Source organism: Homo sapiens, chromosome 7 (assembly GCF_000001405.40).
Source record: "Homo sapiens chromosome 7, GRCh38.p14 Primary Assembly".
NCBI classification, from domain to species: domain Eukaryota; kingdom Metazoa; phylum Chordata; class Mammalia; order Primates; family Hominidae; genus Homo; species Homo sapiens.
The window spans coordinates 141,361,495-141,381,395 of NC_000007.14; the positions used below are offsets into that span (position 1 = coordinate 141,361,495).

Genomic DNA, 19,901 nt, shown 5'->3' on the forward strand with positions numbered 1-19,901 from the left:
ATTAGTTGCCAACATTTAAAAATCAGGAGATTTTACATAAAAATCTATGTTTCTGATCTCTTTTTAAAAATTAGCCATCCTGGCAATATTAGGCCTGCATGACATGACATCCTGGCAATATTTCTGCATGACACAGTGGTCAGAGCAGAGTAACCCTTGTCCCGTTTTAGCCTCATGTGTTCTCTCTAGTTTGCCACCATCACCCTCTCTTGATTGTCTCCATGACACCGAGGCTGAGTGTTAGTTTATCTATCATCACTCTTGCAATGTTATTTTTCTCATAATTGAGACTGTCTCTCTCAAGAGTAGGAAAACAAAAGAAAAGATAGAGTAGGCTGCATGTTTCTTACACCCAGCCCACTTCATCATTAAAATTAGCTGCCTACCAGCACCTGTAGGCCTTAGAATTTGCAAACCCTACTATAACTGTACTACAGACCACAAATGGAAATTTGTCTTTGTGACACTTTCAAACTCACCCTTCTTGGAAAAGGGAAGGTGATAAGGTTGATTTTTCTTACAAGGCAAAACATCTTTAGTGCGTGGCAATGGCTAAATTAATTCAGCTTTCCAGACCCCTTTCCTCTAAGACAGCTAGTCTGACAAATGCCATTGCTAATTAGCGCATCGAGTCATGGCAGAGAATTCTGGAGGTCACAATTAGTGCTTTTCAACAGGCCCCACAGATTAAGATATGATTTGCAATCTTCGTCTGGCACTGAGGAAGTCCTGGGTGTCAGCAGTAGGCCCTTTACTTTGTATTGGCAGAGGGTGCCCCACCAGGGCCATTTGCTGGGACAAAAATCACTCAATTCCAATGCAAGAAAATAAACATATGGCACCATAGTCATGACAAAGTGGACCTGTTTTGGCTTTGAAGTGTACAGACAAGTTGCCTGCAGCCTGATCATCTCTCATGCTTCATAGTAAAATGCTGTCCCCATGGTGCCTATAAAACCGCTGCTTTCCTCTTTGATTCTCTCCTAAGCAAGAAAGCATAACACATGCACTTTTTTTTTTAAAAAAAAGACCTATTAATTGGTCAGACAATTAATATATCCACTAAAAGAAAAGTGCTCTGTGGAACAAGGAGGACTAGATAATTTTATGATGAAAGTGTCAAATCTAAGAATCATCACTCTGTGGGGGCATTTGGTGCTTTGAGGTCAGCATCATAACTTTGCTGGCATTCTGGCTGAAGGACTGGCTTAGGGCCTGGAATCTGGACATCCATGACTAATTGGGAAAGCATCTGTGAGTTCCCCCACCTCAGCTGGGCAGAGATGCAATGAGCAGTTTGAAAGTTACAGGAGAAGTGGAAAGGAAACCACCCGGGCTGTAGCCATTTCTCCTGGAGCGACAGAGACACTCAGGGGTCAGTGCATGTCATCCAGATACAGCACACCTCTGGCTGGCCATCTGGAAAAGTGCTCATGAGGTCAGATATGGCCGGAACCATGGCAAAGGGAAATTGTTTGAGCAGGTATAGCAAAGGCTGGGAAGATAAAGACGGGTCTGTCCTCTGGAGACAGAGCAGGCCGAGAGCTCCCATGCCAGTGGATTCTGGAAAATTGGCAAGGCGGAAAATTTAAAGGAGACAAAAATCATCGGAAAAGTCCCAAGGGCCCTAACACCAAATAGCTCATTAATGCTTGGAAAAAAGAGCGAGCGAGTGTTAATGTGAGTCAGCATGTTGTGACTTGTGAATGGGACTGGCACAAACCTTCGGGATTCGCCTTTGCTGGGTTAGTAAACAGTTAAGAATTCCTTTAGGATCTTGCTGTTGAGAGCCAAAATATTTTGAGCAAAATACATCACACATCACTTTCTTCCCTGAGTCTATTGCACATATCTTTTGGGTGTCAGTTTCTCAAGATATCGTAACTTAGTTCACAGAGTGCTTCCACACGTGGCCTTGTAGGACCCTCCCAGTAAGTAACCTTCTGGAGTTGACGGAAGTATTTTAATTTTCACGTGAGAGAAATTGAAGATCAGTGAAGTGATTGGCCAGGGTCAGGCTCATGGGTGGGAGACCAGGACTTGAACGCAATTCTCTGATTCTAACTGCAGTGCTATTTCTGCTCTCTGAGGCTGAATGTTTTCCTGAGATGAGGTTGGTGTGTCACGAAGAATTATCCCCTTCTGTCCTTCGTTTATCTTCAGAAGTGGAAAACAGAGAGTTCTGTGGAAGTTAGGTCTCTTGTAGTTGCTCATTTGAAACAAAGTGCTGTTTTGAATAAAGATAAGCCTGGACACACAGGAGATGTGCTCAACCTTCCTGAGGCTATTCTCAAAGTTAAGTAGAGGACCCTTTCAGCCCAGGAGGTTGAGGCTGTAGTGAGCCGTGATTGCGCCACTGCACTTCAGCCTAAGCAACAAAGTGAGACCCTGTTTCTAAAAAATAAATAAATAAAATAATAAAAAAGAAATAAGAATATTTAAAAATGAAAATAAAAAATAAAAATATTAAATATTAAAGAATTTAAAATTGAAAAAAAAATAAAGGTTAAGAAGGCTTCATACATCACCTTGACTTACTCCTAATATCTGTTTAGGCTTTTCTCACCCATGAATGTATCTATACTATGTTTAGGTGTAGTTACAGCTTTCCATCTTCTAGAAGTAATAGATTTATGTGTTTTCTGCCTACAACAAAAAATGTGGCCTCTTTTCACTTGTCCTATGACTAACTCCTTCAAATGCTACTTTGCAAAGTGAGCAGTTCCCCTTTCCTGCCCTAAAATAATTTCCCAGTAGCTGTATCATTTTAGTTCAGTTAGAGATGCGTTCAATTGTACTGTGCTTCTGGGCTATACTCCCTTTCAAAGAAAATACCTCTCCCAGATATTTGTTCCCAAGTATTAGGAACACATTAAAAAGTTGGGGCTGGGCACGGTGGCTCACGCCTGTAATCCCAGCACTTTGGGAGGCCAAGGTGGGCGGATCCTGAGGTCAGGAGATCGAGACCATCCTGGCTAACACGGTGAAACCCCGTCTCTACCCAAAATACAAAAAATTAGCCGGGCATGGTGGCACGTGCCTGTAGTCCCAGCTACTCGGGAGGCTGAGGCAGGAGAATTGCTTGAACCCAGGAGGGAGAGGTTGCAGTGAGCCAAAATCATGCCACTGTACTCCAGCCTGGGTGACAGAGTGAGACTCTGTCTCAAAAAAAAAAAAAAAAAAAAAAAAAAGTTGGGCCAGGGATCACACAGTGAAATGACCACACTACAGGCCAGGTAGGTAACCCAAAGAATGGAGTGGGCTGGATGTCAGAAAAGCAGCCCTGTAAGAGTAATGTAAAGGGAAATTCCCTCAGCCTCTGCGTGGGGCAATAGGGAGTGGAGGGGACTGAGGATAATGCCTGCTGCTGCTTCTCAGCTTTGACTCATGATGCTGTGTGAGAATATAGGCCAAATGTTGCCACATCTTCTGGTTTTTCAATAAAATCTGGAAGTCCATATTTGAACGTAATGCCTCCTGACTTATTGATGTTGTAACTCATTAAAAGAATTTTAAAACCTTTTCTGGACTAAACGAAACACATCTGTAGCCTAGTGATAGTGGCAAAGACTGACTTGGGGGGCCTGTAGGCCCGTCTCAGAAACCCCATCTCCTCATTTCTTTAACATGGACACTTGGCATTTTCTTAGCCTTATGTAAAACACTGGGTAAATGCAGCTTTGAGAATGCTCCCTCTTTCCAACCACATTGCTGTCTTCAAACCCTTGCTGTAGACGTTCTGGGTTCAAACTGACCCTTATGATGTCAATTAGAAACTAAATTGGAGTGTGACCTTGGCAAAGATAGAGGACATCTGTAAAATGAGGCAGACAAGCTTGAAGCCCTCCAGGGGACGCTTCTGACTTGATGCCCTCGCAGTGTGCTGTGAGATGGTGGCCACCAGCTTTGGGATTGAGCCTGTTTTAATTCATATGCCGGGTGCTTAGGACCTGTATGAATTGGGGCCCATCTCCTTCACCCCTCTGAGCCTCAGTTCTCCTGTCTATAAAATGGGGATTGTAGGGATGTTCTCAGGACTAGAGGAAATGTATGTAAAGATCTTGACACAGAGCTAAATCAATGTCACCATAAGTTTCTGTTTTCAGTGGAAGATAAATGGACTGGCCTGGCTTACAGCATATCTCCAATCTCTGCCTTTCTTCCATCACATGGCTGTCTGCTCACTGTGTGCCCGTGTCTTCACATGACATTCTGTCTGCAGGTGTCTGTCTGTGTCTCTTGTCTTCTTATAAAGATACCAGTCATATTGGATTAAGGGCCTACACAACTCTAGTATGACCTCGTCTTACCTGACATCCTAATTACCTCTACAAAAATTACCTGACATCCTAATTACCTCTTTCCAAATAAGGTCACCGTCACAGGTTCTAGGAATTAGGACTTCAGTGTATCTTTTTTGGGGATACAATTCACCCTGCAACAGTGATCTCAGGCAAGTCGTTTAACCCTCAGAATGTCACTTCCATCTTTTGTCTGCCTCTCCCATCTCTTGGAGCAGATCAAATGCAATAATGTTGGGAGAAACGTTTCTATAAAGCATAGAGCGCCTTTATGGCTGTATTAGTGCTTGTTCTCACCCTGGAAGGGATGTGGTAAGGTCAGAGATGATGACTGCTGAGCATGTGCGTTCCTTTGGAGCTATCATAAAAATAAAAGCTTGTAGCATTTATTATTAATAACCTGTTTACTGGATCCCTGGAGACCAAAGAGCCTGCTGATGGGATCCTTTGACACACTTCTCATTTTTCCTCTCCTGACCACTCCCTCTCCTGAAAGCATGTCTGTGACTTCTGGCTCGAAAGGGAAATGAATGTTTTGTTTTCCCTCCCAAAGAAAATAAACGCTATGCAAGGGTCACGACAAATTTGTTTCAAGGAATTTTGCTTTTCAAATCCATGCTGACTCCCTGACTTGGTTGCCTGTTAGACCAAAGGATACATTTCCTTGTGTTTAAGGCCTCTTTGTTTCTGAAGGTTTAAAAACGTGCATGTCTGGTCTGTATGTGCTCAGGGATCATTTGCTTTGGGGAGGGGCTTCTTTGCATTCTTGGCATTTCGACCTCTTTGTCTTCCCAGCTGCCCTTTCTTGTCTGTCTTTGGATTTCTTCTTATCCTCTTTATGGGGCCATTTTGTTTAGTTTTCTATAACTTTTCTTTAACGGCCATTTCCCTCTCTACTTTTCTGCCCCATTTTCCTTCTGCTTTTCTTCTTCACTTCTGCTTCCTTTCCAGAATGTAGATGTCCCTCCCCTCTCCCACTCACGTCCTTTCCTTCATCCGATTTGGATGGGCTCCTTGGCTAACCTCTGGTTAATTTCATTCTAGGGGCTGCTCAGGCTCTCCGGCCCACAGTATACCCTGCAACTCTTCTGTGACAGTTTATAATCTGTTTTATGGACCTGAAAACTATTCAATCTCCTGGCTCCCTAAAGGAGACTGCTGATGCTAAATTGAATGTGGAGGGTCTGGGTGGTGGAGCTGCTCCTTGATGGACAGCTGCTTATTTATGTCCCTCCGTTGTTTGTTGAGGGATTGTGCTGCTGCCATTCAGGGGGAGCCACATGACAGCAGGGGGGAGGGGTGGGGGGGGCAGGGGTGGGTGGCCAGGGCCTGTGAAGACAGCACCAGCCCAGTGGACCAGCAGAGGGAGGAAGGGACTCTTTCTGTCCTTCTCGAAAGGTAGGAATTTCTTTTACAAACCAATTATTTGATAACAGGGTGGGAAGGTACTCCATTCACTGGTTCAGCAATTACCTTTTTTTTTTTTCTTTTGAGACTAAATCTCATTCTGTTACCCAGGCTTGAGTGCAGTGACATGATCTCGATTCACTGTAACCTCTGCCTCCTGGGTTCAAGCTCAAGCGATTCTTGTGCCTCAGCCTCTTGAGTACCTGGGATTACAGGCATGTGCCACTACACCTGGCTAATTTTTGTATTTTTAGTAGAGATGGGGTTTCGCCCTGTTAGCCAGGCTGGTCTGGAACTCCAGACCTCATGTGATCTGCCTGCCTTGGCCTCCCAAAGTGCTGGCATAAGCCACTGCGCCCAGCTGACAATTACCCTTTGAGCTCCTGTTAGGACCCAGGCATGATGCTGGGTCCTGGGAGTATAATGTGAGATAAAACATTTTCTTAAAACTGCAAGATCTTATTGGTCAATACACAAATAATTATAGAAACAAGGTATAATTTCAGGCTATGCTGAACACTGTGGAGTATAACCCGACCTCCTCTCTTGGGAAGCAGAGGGAGGAGACTGAGGGGTTTCCTATGGGACAGGGACCTTGAGCTGAGAGCTGAGAGGTGGTTAACCAAGGGAAGGTGGAGAGGATGGGGTTCCAAGCAGAGGAAAGCACGAATGCAAAGACCTTTAGAGCAGGTCGACCTTGGAGCGTCTGAAGCTCTGAAGACAGGACTTGGGAGCTGGAGAGCATAAAGGCTGAAAGGCCCAAGACCCAAGAGAAGGAGGCAGAGGCCATGCTTATTCTGGAAGAGCAGGCACATGTTGAAAAATACAAAAAGGGGCCAGGCACAGTAGCTCACGCCTGTAATCCCAGCACTTTGGGAGGCCAAAGTGGGCAGATCACTTAAGGTCAGGAGTTCAAGACCAGCCTGGCCAACATGGTGAAACCCCATCTGCACTAACAATACAAAAATCAGCAGGGCATGGTAGTGTGTGCCTGTAATCTCAGCTACTCAGGAGGCTGAGGTGGGAGAATTGCTTGAACCTGGGGGGTGGAGGTTGCAGTGAGCCAAGATTGTGCCACTGCACTCCAGCCTGGGCGATAGAGTGAGACTCTGCTTCAAAAAGGAAAAATGATCTGAAACCCTGCTAGTCACTCTTCTGAACTGATATCATACTATTTTGCATGTTTTAAACTTCTCTGAGCTGTAAGGTATAAAGTGCATAAAGTGTATTTATCATAAGTGTACACCTCATTGGATTTTTACATGAACAGGTTCTATGCCTATATACTTGGGATTCCATTTTTTAATGTAACATTATATCACAAAAATTTTGCACTGTTAAAAGTACTTCAAGAATATGAAACATAAAGACTGAATACAATTCTACTACAGGGGGCTTCTTATCCATGCTCAGTGTGTACATTTCTTTTGTGTTGATTTTTCCCGATGGATCTGTGCACTGAACATTATTGTGGATAAATGTTGATGCATATCTGGTTATCATAGAAATCCTGGAAGTAAAAGAGGCATATAGGTGAGGCTCTTGATACATATTGTTAGATTGCTGAAAAATTCCTTTTTTACTTCAGAATTTCCAATGGTATGAAAACATTCCCGGATCCCCTCTGTGTGGTTGTCTCTTCAACTGGGTCTCTCACTAGAGGACCATGCCGCTCCTGCTTTGCTCCCTTACATCTGAGTCTGAACAAAGAAAAATTCTCAAGGAAGGGGTTGTTAGTGAGTGTTTGACTTGGTGGGAAAGACTGACATGTGGGCCGTGGGCCCCTCCTGTAGATGGGGCCCACTCTAAGAACAAAGTATGGGGCTCTTGCTCACCCCCCTTTCCCAGTAGACTTGTCAGTAGAAGAGGTTTGCAAGCCATGGAAAGAAGTAAACATCCCTTCAGCCTCAACTGGGCTTCTCAACTGTTCCTCTGGTATTTCTTTCCCCAGTGGACCCACCCATTCCCCATAAGGTACAAATATTCAGTATTTGTTTGTATTTGTTGAATTAATAAAGATGTAGTTTCTTAAGTGATACTACCTAGTATAATTTCCTCTCATTATTATTCTTTTCCAGTCTCATCTCTCTTTCTCTCTGTCTCTCCGCGCCGACGTGTGTGTGTGTGTGTGTGTGTGTGTGTGTGTGTGTGTGTGTATGTGTGTGTGTTTATGTAGAGGAGAAAGAAAATAAATATCACCATAGAGAAGGTAAAATTCTGTTGATCTCTTTGGCTCTGCCTTTCTCTCAAAGCAGCAACTCCTTGCAGGGTTTCTGGGCTTCTCCAGCTGTTTAAAATGGCTGGCCTCCTGTGTGCTTCCTTGTTTGTATGTCTGAGCAAAGTGGAAAATTCAAAGGAAGGTGTTTTGCTTTTTCCCTGAGCAAGAATGCCGAGCAGGGAAGCACCTCCACCCCGCGTTCCTAATGGAGCTTGCTCTCTGCAGACTGGCTGTGAGCCCAGGTTTACAGAAGTTCACTTCAGACAAATACATTCTGCCACTTTCACTCTTGGGAACAGACATGGCAGAATCCCAGTGGGTCATTCCTTCTGTCCCCTGGAGCCGGGATTACTTCCTACCTTATAGCCACAATGACTTTTTCAACACAACTTTTAAATAAGCCATAAAATGGAAATATGCCTGGCAAGTGGGGAAATATTCTATTGCTTGAAAAGGCCCATAGAATCAAACAGCTTGGAGAGAAACAAATAAAGAGAACAATATAAAAGCAACAACAAGGAAAAAATTGCTGCTTATTTTGTTTCTCTTTTTCTCAGTACAAGGCCAACCTAGTCCTTAGTCCTCCCAAATAACAATGGGTTCCATGTAGGTTTTGAACTCACAGGCCTGAGGCAAGGGGGGCCTGCCCCAGGTAGGAGGGTCCTGGCTCCAGTGGAACCGGGAGGAACCCCCCAAGTGTGTGTGACTGGACCACAGAGAGGGAGAAGTCATAGCAGGGGTGGCAGCAGAGAGAAAAGGAATGGAACGTTGCAGAGAGATTATTAAGACAGAAGGCCCAGTTTCAGGATATTAAGAATGGTGGTGAAGAGACCCAGGAGAAGGCAGTGAGGATCTGCGGTTTTAACTGACCAGCAATTCAGGGAGTGAGGTGCATTTTGGCAGCTGAGGAACACCTTGGCAAGAGGGACAGGGCTGGGCTGAGCTACTCTTCCAGATGAACCACCCTGGAACATTGCTGAGCTTTGCAATGTGCAAAGTGCATAAGACATGGTATCTGCCTTCAAAGAGCTTTTAATCCAGCAAAAGAGACTAATATATGCAACACGTTGGGTAAAACAACGTGTGATAAAGTGTTCTTGTACGGATAATAGACAGGGACTTTTATTGGTGCTCAGAAGGAGGAGCTAGTTTAGACTGATATAGTTAAGTAGGATTTCCTGGAAGACAAGGATTTGTGCTAAGTCTTGGAGGAAGAAAGAGATTTGGACAGGACTTGCAAAGCATTGCAGATTCTGGCTCTGTGACATTTGCCAATATTTAGTAGGATCATTTCTGCCAGGGTGACCCCTTAGAGTTTGTGTAATTGCTCCTAAGGATTAGAAGAAACACAGCGTTCCTCTTTGCACATGGCAAATGCAGAGGATATGCACATTGGTCTCCACCTAGGCAAGGACATCTGCTGTTTGACCACTGATCAAGACTCTCAGTCATGCGGCTCAGAAGCCCGATGTTGTCTGCATTCTGAATATGGATCTCTCTTTTCTGAGAGGATGCACGGTTACCAGGTTCAGGGGATGAATGTAGAAAACCAGAACACTGTACTGTGTACTCGCACTGACAGATGAATGGGCACATGGGTGGAAATATTCATTAGCTTATGTGACCAGCTCTTGTTTTCTCCCATGTAGGCAGATCTATGAGCAAAGCTGAATTATAAGCAACAGAAGTTACTGTGTACTACAGGTTGGATCTTTGTCCCTTCCAAACCTCATGTTGAAATTTGGTCCCCAATATTAGAGATGAGCCTAATGGGAGGTGCTCGCATTATGGGCTGGATTGCTCATGAATAGACTAATGCCCTTCCTTGGGGGTAAGTGAGTTCTCACTCTATTAGTTCCCTCTAGAGCTGGTTGGTAAAAAAAAAAGCCTGATACCTCCCCACCTCTCTTTCTTCCTCTTTTGTCAAATGATCTGCACACCCTGGCTTCCCTTCACCTTCTGCCATAGTGGAAGCAGCCTGAGGCCCTCACCTGACGCAGACACCAGTGCCGTGCTTCTTATACAACCTGCAGAACCAGAAGCCAAACAAACCTCTTTTCTTAAAAAATTACCTGCCTCAAGTATTCTCTTGTAGCAACACAAAACAGACTAAGACACTGTAGATACGGAATAAGTGGGGCTAGAAGGAAGAAGGAAAAGGGATTTAATGGCACTAGGCTGAAACAAACTAGATATGTTGATCTCTCAGCTACCTCTTATCTCTTCTGTGAGAACAGAATGCATGACACCAGAACACTAAAGGTCTGAAGGCTGTGACCCCCAGCATACCTCTCTGCATTAGAGGTAGACTTACCACTAGGGCCAGGATACCAAGTGGCCACTGGCTAAGGCCACTCAGCCCATCTGTCCACCTACACAACCTCTCCTCCCCTTCTCCTCCCTGCTAAAGCCAGTCCCTCTGCTCCTAGCTAGATCCCATCTCTTCTTAACTACTAAAGACATTGCTCTACCAGTGCTCCACTTCTCATCTTCTTTATTTCCTTTTCTCCATTGGGTCAATCTCAGAAGTGTACAATTATCTGTTATTTTTCACTTCTTAAATAACAGTCTTCACTTGGACCCATGTTTCCTGCCAGCTAATCCCCCACATCCTTTCTCCTTTTTTCAGCAAAGCTTTACAGAGAGTTGCCTTCTCCTCACTGGTACCAGTTGCTCTACTTCGTTTCCCTCTTAAAGTCACTCTAGTCTGACTCTCACCACTCCCTCACAAAATCTACCCTTGGCCAAGTCACCAATGACTTCCACATTGCTAATCCAGCAGCCAGTCCTCAGTCCTCCCCTCACTTGACCTATTAGCATCATTGGACAGAATGGATCATTCCCTTCTCTTGGTGACCTACAGCTGCATCTCATTATCCACCATCCTCTCCTCGCTGTCTCTGCTCGGGACACACAGATCTCCAGGCTGTTCATCATGCAGGCCAGGTGCGCTCTTGCTCAGGACCTTGGCATAGGCAGTTCCCTCCCTGCAGATTACCCTGTGAGTCACCCTTCACCTCCTTCAGGTCTTTACTCAAATGTTACCTTCTCAGTGGGACTGCCTTCCATGCAGCAGTTACATTATAAAATGCATATATCTGCTTACATTCTAGGTTCCCAAAGCCCATTGCCTCTCTGATCAGAGTCCATTTCTTCTGCAACCCCAGGGGACAATCACATAGAACCTCCCTCCTCATCTATATGGGTTTTATAAGGGACACAAGAGAAGTTGCTGGAAGTGTCTATGTTCCCATATAGAATGTCAGTTTAATTATTTTAAAATTATGAGCAAAACCTCAGAGAACTGCTTTGAAAATGCAGAGAACTGCTTTGAAAACTATGTGTAGTTCTGAGGATGTCTTCCGTAAATATAAGAACTTGGTGATTAGAGTTACTATTAGAGCCAGACTTGGAACCCAAATGATTAGATGACTTCCACACATCTGAGCCGTCCAGGCTTGTGAGAAGACTGGAGGCAGCGGTGATGAGGAATGGGGTGGGGTGATGAAAACTAAAAGGGATGGAAAAAAGGAGAGGGAAATGGCTTAGTGATTAAGAGTATTGGTTTTAGTGTCAAGACAGCCTGGAGTCCACCGCTGGCTCAGACACTTAGTAGCTGTGTGACTTTGGGCAAATTATTTAATCTCTCTGAACCTTGGTCACTTTATATAAAAATAGAGTTAATTGGGCCTTCCCCTCAGGACTTCAATGATGAAATGAGATCTTGCATATGAAATACCTCTTGCAGTTCACAGCATATTGGAAGTGCTCTGGAAACAGGAACTCTGGTATTCTTGTTGCTGTGGTGCAAGCTCTGAGAATAGGCAGAGGCCAGAGCAAATGGTGAGAGAAAGGTTACAGATGAGATGAAGTCTATGAGATGTGATCCTCGGACCCAAATAAACAACAACAACAGCAAACAACAACAACAACAAATCCTGAGGACCAGTATGGAGCCACAGTTGGAAGTGTACTTGCAGAAGGTTGGGTTTCCCTGGGAAATACACTACGAGACTGAGATTTGAATGCAGGGGGCTTCTCAGGGGATGCTCTTGGGAACGATGCCTGGAAGGAGTGAAGGAAGCAGGACTGCTCAGAGTGGGAGGGTGAACTACCATGCAGTTGCAGCCAAGGCCTTTGCCAACTTATGAGGTGCTCTAGAGCTTGGGTGGCCTTCTAAGAAGTCCCAGTTGAGACAAGGGGATCAGGCCTAATACGGCCACCCTCCACCCCCCCAACACACATTGGGCAGGCTGCTCCCGGGGAAGGGGCATTCCCTTGGGTGAGGCAGCCTCCACTGAGCCTACAGCAGCCAACATTGCCCATAGCTGGGTGAGGGAGGGCTTGGTTCTGAAGGGTGAGCTGGGCAGCACACCACAGTATTCACTACAGGCTGGTCCAGAGGCAGGGAATTGAAAATATTTAAACCTCTGCTCAGGAGTCAAAATGTGAACCTAAATTTTGTGAAAGAGGACTCACAACTATGCCCCCAAATTCCTCACATGGGCAAACATTTAGTTAGGCATGAAATCCAACTCTGGGGGATGGACTTTAACAGACAAGGAAATGGCCATGATTTTCAATAGGCCCTCCCCTCCTTCCATTTATTCCTTAAAGAGTGGCTATGAAGAGAAAGCTTAGATCCACCCTGTAGCTGATGACATGGGAAGCCCTGAGCTGGGTCACCAAGGTAAGCGTGTTTCTGATGTGAAGTCCGGGACTGTAAACGCCCAGGAGCAGCTCCTTCTTCATAGCCTTGTGGTACTGAGGTGGGGCTTCATACAAGCTTCTTGATTTGAAATCAGCATTTAAACGGGATTCCACCAGCAGGTGTGTCTGTGGCTCTAATGGGAGAGACTGTGACATCTCTTAGATGATTTCCTGGTGCTCCATAGTGCCAGATGCCCTATTTGGCTAACCACTCTTTAAAACAATACTTATTTAGGCACACACACATGCACACACACACACACAGATACGCAGCATAGACAACACTCACACTCTTGTGCATACAACCTTCTCCCACCTCTTCTTCATTGTGTGCATTGGAGTGGAGAGAAGCATACACAGGTGGGTGAGAACAAGTGATTGTTCAGGGGAGAGAGCTGGCCTAGAGGTAGACTTGGAGTGAGAATGAGCCCAGTAGCACAGCTTAAAAACCCCACGCGCATACAGCGTCAGAGTCTCTTCCATCTGCGAAACCGCCTCTTCCCGAGTGCTCTCGCACATGCCACCCCATGTGACAATTACTTAAGCATTCATGGGACTTCCTTTCTCAAACCTGCAACTTGTCACTTGATTTTACTCCGGTGTTTACTTTTGTAGGCAATTTTCTCTGTGCGACTATAGATTCATCTTTGGTATTTGAACTAAATTTGTGAAAATTTAATCTGATAGATGAGATCATTACTGGAGACCTTGCCTTCCTAAGGCTCCATGTGTGCCAAAGGTAATGAAGCAGTATACCAACTGCATTTACAAAATCCCAGGGCACACGACACCTTCTGCATCCTCTTCAGTATTCATTTTGTAGTTGTCTTAAGATATATGTCCCCATGTCCCATGGCTGGGATTTGAGAGTTTGTCTTCCTGTTTCTATGCTGTTTCTTGTTCGTAATTTAATGTATCCTTGGATACTGACAGATACTTTCCCTTCAAGATTTTGCAGATTTGAAGAACAGTTCATCCTCTCACTTGATTTACCGGATGATGGTCATGACCATTTGCTTTCATTTGCTCCTTTAAAACACTTAAATGTTGTTCCATCTTTCTGTGATTTTAATAATTAGGAGTAAATTATGCCTATGATTATATAAACTTGATGGACTCTGACACAATGGAAAGGTTTCAGTGTGGTCCATGTTTGAAACTGCTTGCAGCCTGAAGATACTGTCCCCATCATTTCAGGGTCATTGTGATATGCCATGTGAATTGCAAAAAGTGAGTCCTTCCATTGCATCCATCTTGACTGCACCTGCGTAGAGATTGTCAAAGTCAGACCCTTATTTTTAAATGAAAAAGACAGAGAGTTACAAATATAGTAGAAACCTTTTATGATGCTGATTTTAGCAGACAGGACTAACATCTGTGTTAGAAGCAAACTGCATTACATCCTGTTTCTTATTATAGTAGTAGGTAATCGTTGTGTTCCAGGGGAAAGTATTTGACTCCAGGGGTTCTTCCACCATTTTCTGTTAAGGAAGCCATGAAGAAATGAGCCCCCTGTTACTCTGTATAATTCTGGGTTATTGGAGGCTACGGTTATTAAATTATATTTAGGAAGCCATGGTTATTGTGGTGTATTTAGAATTGGTCATGTTGTGGGTCTGTAAGAATTTAATACACTGCTGTATTAATTAGGAGGTAGGGAGGCTCACTTACAAGGGGAGATCATTTTTGGGGAAAAGGCCAGCCTCTTAGACATAAAATAGAAACAGAGAGGGCAAGCCTTGGGTGAACAACAGAAGGAGACAGGCCTCTTGGCCATCGGCCTGCAGGAGTTCATATGGGACCAACGGGGAAGTAGCCCCAGAGCTGGCAACCTGGGGACTAAGGCAAGATGACCCTAAGTTGTGCCAGTCCTTTGGGGACCTATCTTAATCTTTGTAAGCCGAAGCAAGTTTCTATTTTATATTTGTAATGCCTTCAGCATTTGTCTCCCTTTTGATCTTCCTTAATGCTTAGCAAGTCTTTTAAATGCTTCAGCCAGACTTCCTGTCCTTTCTGTAAGGAACTATATTTAAGGGTAACCAAATAGTCCCTGTTGATGAGGGAATGTTCTACTTTACAGAAGAAAGCCAGCTAATAATAAGAAGAAGAATTTAAAAAATAGTTTTGCCAATCTCAACGGAATTATTGGTTTAGGCAAGTATTATTAACTGGCAGGAAAATCACTGGGTATGTACCTACTTGGGAAATAAACATTTGTTATATTACCAAAAATTATACCAACTACACAGGTTACTTTCTGGTCTAAAGAGGAAAACATAACTCTAATATAGGAAAGAGACTGATATCACTGTAATCCAGTAACCATAACATCGCTAATGATGTAACAGCCTGATGTTATATGTCTTTGATCTAATTAAATACAACTGCAGAACACCATCGATGTCTTCTTGACAAACATGTTTAACATTAATCCATCAAAATTTTAGATAGATATTTCAGTGTCAGGGAATACAGGGGATAGAGAAACAAGCTCAGCATCACCACGAAGAAGCAATCACACAAATCCAATAGGTTGGAGCAAAAGTAATGGCGTTCTTGATATTTTAATGGCACAAACCACCATTACTTTTGCACCAACCTGCTAGAAGCTGAGACATTCTGCAGGACTACTGGCTTGGTGTTTTCACAAATCAGGGTCAATGGGGAGGACTTGCTAGATTTGAAAATATTTTAAAGGACATGACAATCAAATAAAATCATCCTTGATTAGATTAAATTGGAGAGAAATTTGAATATGATAAAAGTATTAGATGATGTGAAAATGTACTAAAATGGAAAAGAAGAAATCATTGACTGGAAAAAATTGCTGTAGGATAGTGTGCAACCTAAGGTCTCATATTGACAAATATATATGTACACATATATTAGGAAAAGAGCCAAAAAGAAAATATGCCCTAAGATTGTAACAGCTGATTTCCAGGTAGTAGAAATGTGATAGTTTGCTTTGATTTTTAATTTTTACTTGTCTATATTTTGTAATTTTCTGTAATCCATGGGGGCTACTTCTGTATTTATTTATTTATTTATTTATTTATTTATTTATTTATTTGAGATGGAGTTTCGCTCTTGTCACCCAGGCTGGAGTGCAATGGAGCTATCTCGGCTCACTGCAACCTCCGCCTCCCGGGTTCAAGTGATTCTTCTGTCTCAGCCTCCCTAGCAGCTGGGATTACAGGCGCTTACCACCACGCCCAGCTAATTTTTGTATTTTTAGCAGGGACGGGGTTTCACCACGTTGGCCGGCTGATCTTGAACTCCTGATGTCAGGTGATCTGCCTGCCTCGGCCTCCCTGCTTCTATTTTAAGAAATCACTTCGTGACCAGCCTGGCCAACATGGTGAAACCCTGTTTCTACTAAAAATACAAAAAATTAGCTAGGCGTGGCAGTGGACACCTGTAATCACGGCTACTCAAGAGGCTAAGACAGGAGAATCACTGGAACCCAGGAGGTGGAAGTTGCAGTGAGCCAAGATTGCATCACTGCATTCCAGCCTGGGCAACAAAGAGTGAAACTCCATCTTAAAAAAAGAAAAAAGGGAAAAAAAGAAAGAAATCACTATAAATAAAACATATCAAAAATAAATTAAGATTTCATTTTATATGATGATCTACTGGTTCTTTTGGAAGTTGAGTACTTTTTAAATAAATTTTTATTTGGGAGTTATTTTAGATTTACAGAAAAGTTGCAAAGAAAGTACAGAGAGTTCCTGTGTATCTTTCACTCCATTTCCCTTACTGTTAACATATTATATAACTACAATACATTTGTCAAACTAAGAAATTACCATTGGTACATTATTATTAATTGAACTCTCAACTTTATTCAGATTTCATCCCTTTTCCCACTAATGTCCCTTTTCTGTTCCACAAAGCCACACTGCATTTAGTCATCGTGTCTCCTTTGTCTCCTCTGGTTGGTGCCAGTTTTTCAGCCTTTCCTTATTTTTCATGACCTTGACAGTTTTGAAGAATACTGCTCTGGTATGTTGTAGAACGTCCCTCATTTTAAATTTGTCTGATGTTTTTCTCATAGTTAGACCGGGGTTACAGGCTTTGTGAGTCATACCATGGAGGTCAAGTGCTCTTCTTGCATTATATGATATCGACATGACTTATTGCTGGTGAAGTTAGCCTTGATCACCTGGTTAAGGTAGTGTCTTCCAGACCCCTCCACTACTTTTCTAGTGACTATTTTTTGAAGTTACTATTTTTCCCTTTCCATACTTTATTCTCTGGAAATGAGTCACTGAGTTCAGCCCATATGGTTTTTTTCTGAACCCTCCCCCACTGCCCCCACCCAAAACCAGAGCACTCATTAATTTTAGCTGAGCTAAGAGGAGTTAATTTTTGGCTACTTTTGAAAGAGGCATTGCCTGGTTAACAGCACACACTAGGGTGGTGGCATTGCCGGAGATGGTACTGAGGGAGAGGCTCCTAAGCGAAGGTGGTACCTGGGGCATAAAGCCCAGAGTCCTTGTTTAGCCTCTACAGCTACATACTGACCTTTGCCAACCTGCAGATCTGTTCCAGGCTAAATTAGAAAAGCATGCATTTCACTTTATTCAAGAGGTAGTCCTCCCTTAGAGGGGCTATTTTTTATTTCCACAGAGCTTTCATTGCTACTGAAGAAGAAACTGCAAGAAAAAGGAAAGGATGGTAGCGAGAGTGAAAGAAAACTGCCAGCCAACTTCTCTTCCCTGTTGGACATCCCTTCCCACTCTGGGAAATGGGATATGCTGCCACTAGCCACGAAACATTTCAGAATTGCCCTTGGGGGCACCCTAGATGTGCAAGTTATGTGACATAACAGCAGTCTGTTTCACGGTGCACAACAGGGGCACCAAGGGGCCTCAGAAACATCCTCTGCTTGGGGGAAGCACAGAGCAAAAGGAGCCACTCCGGATTTGGAGAGCCATGCAGGGGCATCCTAGTCTCTCTCCAGTCTCTGCTCAGACAGGCCATATAGTCCATAAGCTCTGTTGGACTGCCAGTTAACAGAGTGTTCTGGAGCCTTCTAAAATGGCCAGACTGTAGGCTGGGCACAATGGCTCATGCCTGTAATCCTAGCACTTTGGGAGATCAAGGTGGGAGAATCACTTAACCCCAGGAGTTCAAGACCAGCCTGGTCATCATAGTGAGACCCCTGTTTTTCTAAAAAAAAAAAAAAAATTAAAATGTAAAAAGTTGGCTGGGCATGGCAGCATGCACCTGTAGTCTCAGCTACTCGGAAGGCTGAGTCAGGAGGATTGCTGGAGCTCAGGAGGCCGAAGCCGCAGTGAGCCATGATCATGCCATTACATTCCATCCTGGGTGACAGAGTAAATCCCTGTCTAAAATAATAAAATAAAATGTCTAGAGTGCCCCTCAGCAGGTTCATGAGAAGCAAAACCAAAGCAGTCACATTATCTTCAAAACAACTTGGTTTGTTATTATTTTTAATCCTAGGCCTTGCTGGTTTCCCGCAACTTTGCCCAATAGAGGGCTGTGTGCTGTGCCATTCAGTTTTCTGTGGCATGAGAATCCTTTCATGATATTTAGATGGGGTCTTCTCCATGGACACAGAGCTTCATAGATTCATATGGTACCTTATATCCGTTTTCCTTCCATCTCTCTCATCCACCTTCCTTCTCTCTCTTTCTCCCTTTCTTCCTTTCTTCATTATGAGTATTATAATGTGAGAAGTGAAGGCTTCTGGTTCAGGCTAACACTAAACAGTTCTTAGGAGATTTTCCTCAAATTGGGGGATGTCTCAAGTATATTACAATTCTACCAGAAAATCCTTTTACCTTTAGAGGCTTTGGAAATGAATGTAAATTTACAGAATTTTACATTGAATGGCTTTTTCTGTCCATCTTTTCTTACTACTCTAGATGTAGACTAAGAAGTTGCTTAGCTCACCACCCTCTACCCATAAATATAAATCTAAAAACAAATTTAGTCGAATTTTAAAAATGCATATTTCAGCGACAAAATGTTGAGGTCTAGATGTGTATTTTGGGGAATACTTGATTAAAGTCCCCACACATTGGTGCTGACTACTTCACTAGCCTAGAACTGATTGTAGTTCTATAGCTCTTAGTGAGGGACAGCAAGAAAGTCAGTTATGTCAGCATTTGTTCACTGTGCACAAAATCTAATCTTTAAGTCATATTCTGTTATTTTTGTGAAGACCTTCCTAATTGAATAGGAGACTCTATGTTTCTTATATTCAATTGTAAAAAACTTTCTGCAGCTTTAGAAAATGATATCCCATACCCCTTCTTTGCAATATCTAAACTTGATGACTTTCATTCCAAAAGTTTTTAGGTTTTTAGTGTTTTTGCCTTCCTAACTGGAATATACATTTTCCTAAGTGTCTTGCTCAAGTAGAATATGTTGTTTACTACCAGGATTATTTTGTGCTATGTATAGGTCCAGTAGTTTGATTAAACTTGGGGAAAAAAGAATTCTATGTCCTTTTTAATAGTGGAAATCCAACTGCTTATTGTTGTTGTTATTTATATGTGTGTATGTGTTTGTTTTGGGGAGTATTCTGTGCCTTCCTATAAGCAAATATTGATTGAATGCATTTATCATTCTGATCCTTGAGATAATTATTCATATAGGTTACAGTCATTCTCAGCTATAGTAGTAGATCTTTTCAGCTGATCATGGCATGGATGTGAAGTAGTCTCAGCATGCTAATCTCTGCATTTTAGAGGCAGGGAAAGAAGGCTATACCTCTCAGTCTGTTAGGAAATTTCAGATTCAAATATACATCTAGAAGAAAGCAGACCTAACTGGGGATTACAGAGGCTAACATGGTGGCTGCTGAGTACCTGATAACAGATCCATCACTGTCTCCCCGTACCCACCCCATAACCACAACACAATTCACATCTTACCTGCCTACACAGCATATTTTGTATGCACACTTCACTGTCTCATAATACTGCAGAGGAGTGAGGTGAGACAAATGGAAGAGTTCCCAGTCCTTGAAGTTGGGGCAAATGTAGCATCGATGTGACTGTAATCTTTACATGGAATTCAGTGATGTGAAACCCCCCACCTGTATCAAAGTCTTGTAGTTAATAAGCAATAGCTTCTTCCAATTCTCCTCTCATGGCCTTGCTCACATCTCTTAAATTCTTGTAGATCCTTAAGCCAAGTAACAGATAATTCTAGTTTTTTATTCATAATAAAGATGTAGACTCTTTCCCTGTAGTAGTAGAAGAAGTAATTTCCATTTGATATTCCTGTGCCAC

The 19,901-nt window shown here is 43.1% G+C and overlaps 1 protein-coding gene and 1 long non-coding RNA gene across 5 annotated transcripts in view, besides 1 other annotated feature; both read left to right on the forward strand.

The window, feature by feature from the left end:
- Nucleotides 1-19,901, forward strand: part of TMEM178B (transmembrane protein 178B) — a 437,233-nt gene that overhangs the window by 287,431 nt on the left and 129,901 nt on the right. The gene's annotated exons all lie outside the window — the stretch shown is intronic.
- Nucleotides 1,743-2,532: an enhancer, noted in NCBI's record as "H3K27ac hESC enhancer chr7:141063037-141063826 (GRCh37/hg19 assembly coordinates)". NCBI's record gives its function as "activates a minimal SCP1, AML or CMV promoter by ChIP-STARR-seq in primed H9 embryonic stem cells {active_cell/tissue: H9 hESC(primed)}" and the evidence as "EXISTENCE:reporter gene assay evidence [ECO:0000049][PMID:30033119]".
- On the forward strand, nucleotides 5,641-7,749 carry LOC124901760 (uncharacterized). The gene is made up of 2 exons (XR_007060563.1): nucleotides 5,641-5,699; nucleotides 7,297-7,749. It is a non-coding gene; the product is annotated as an uncharacterized LOC124901760 (long non-coding RNA).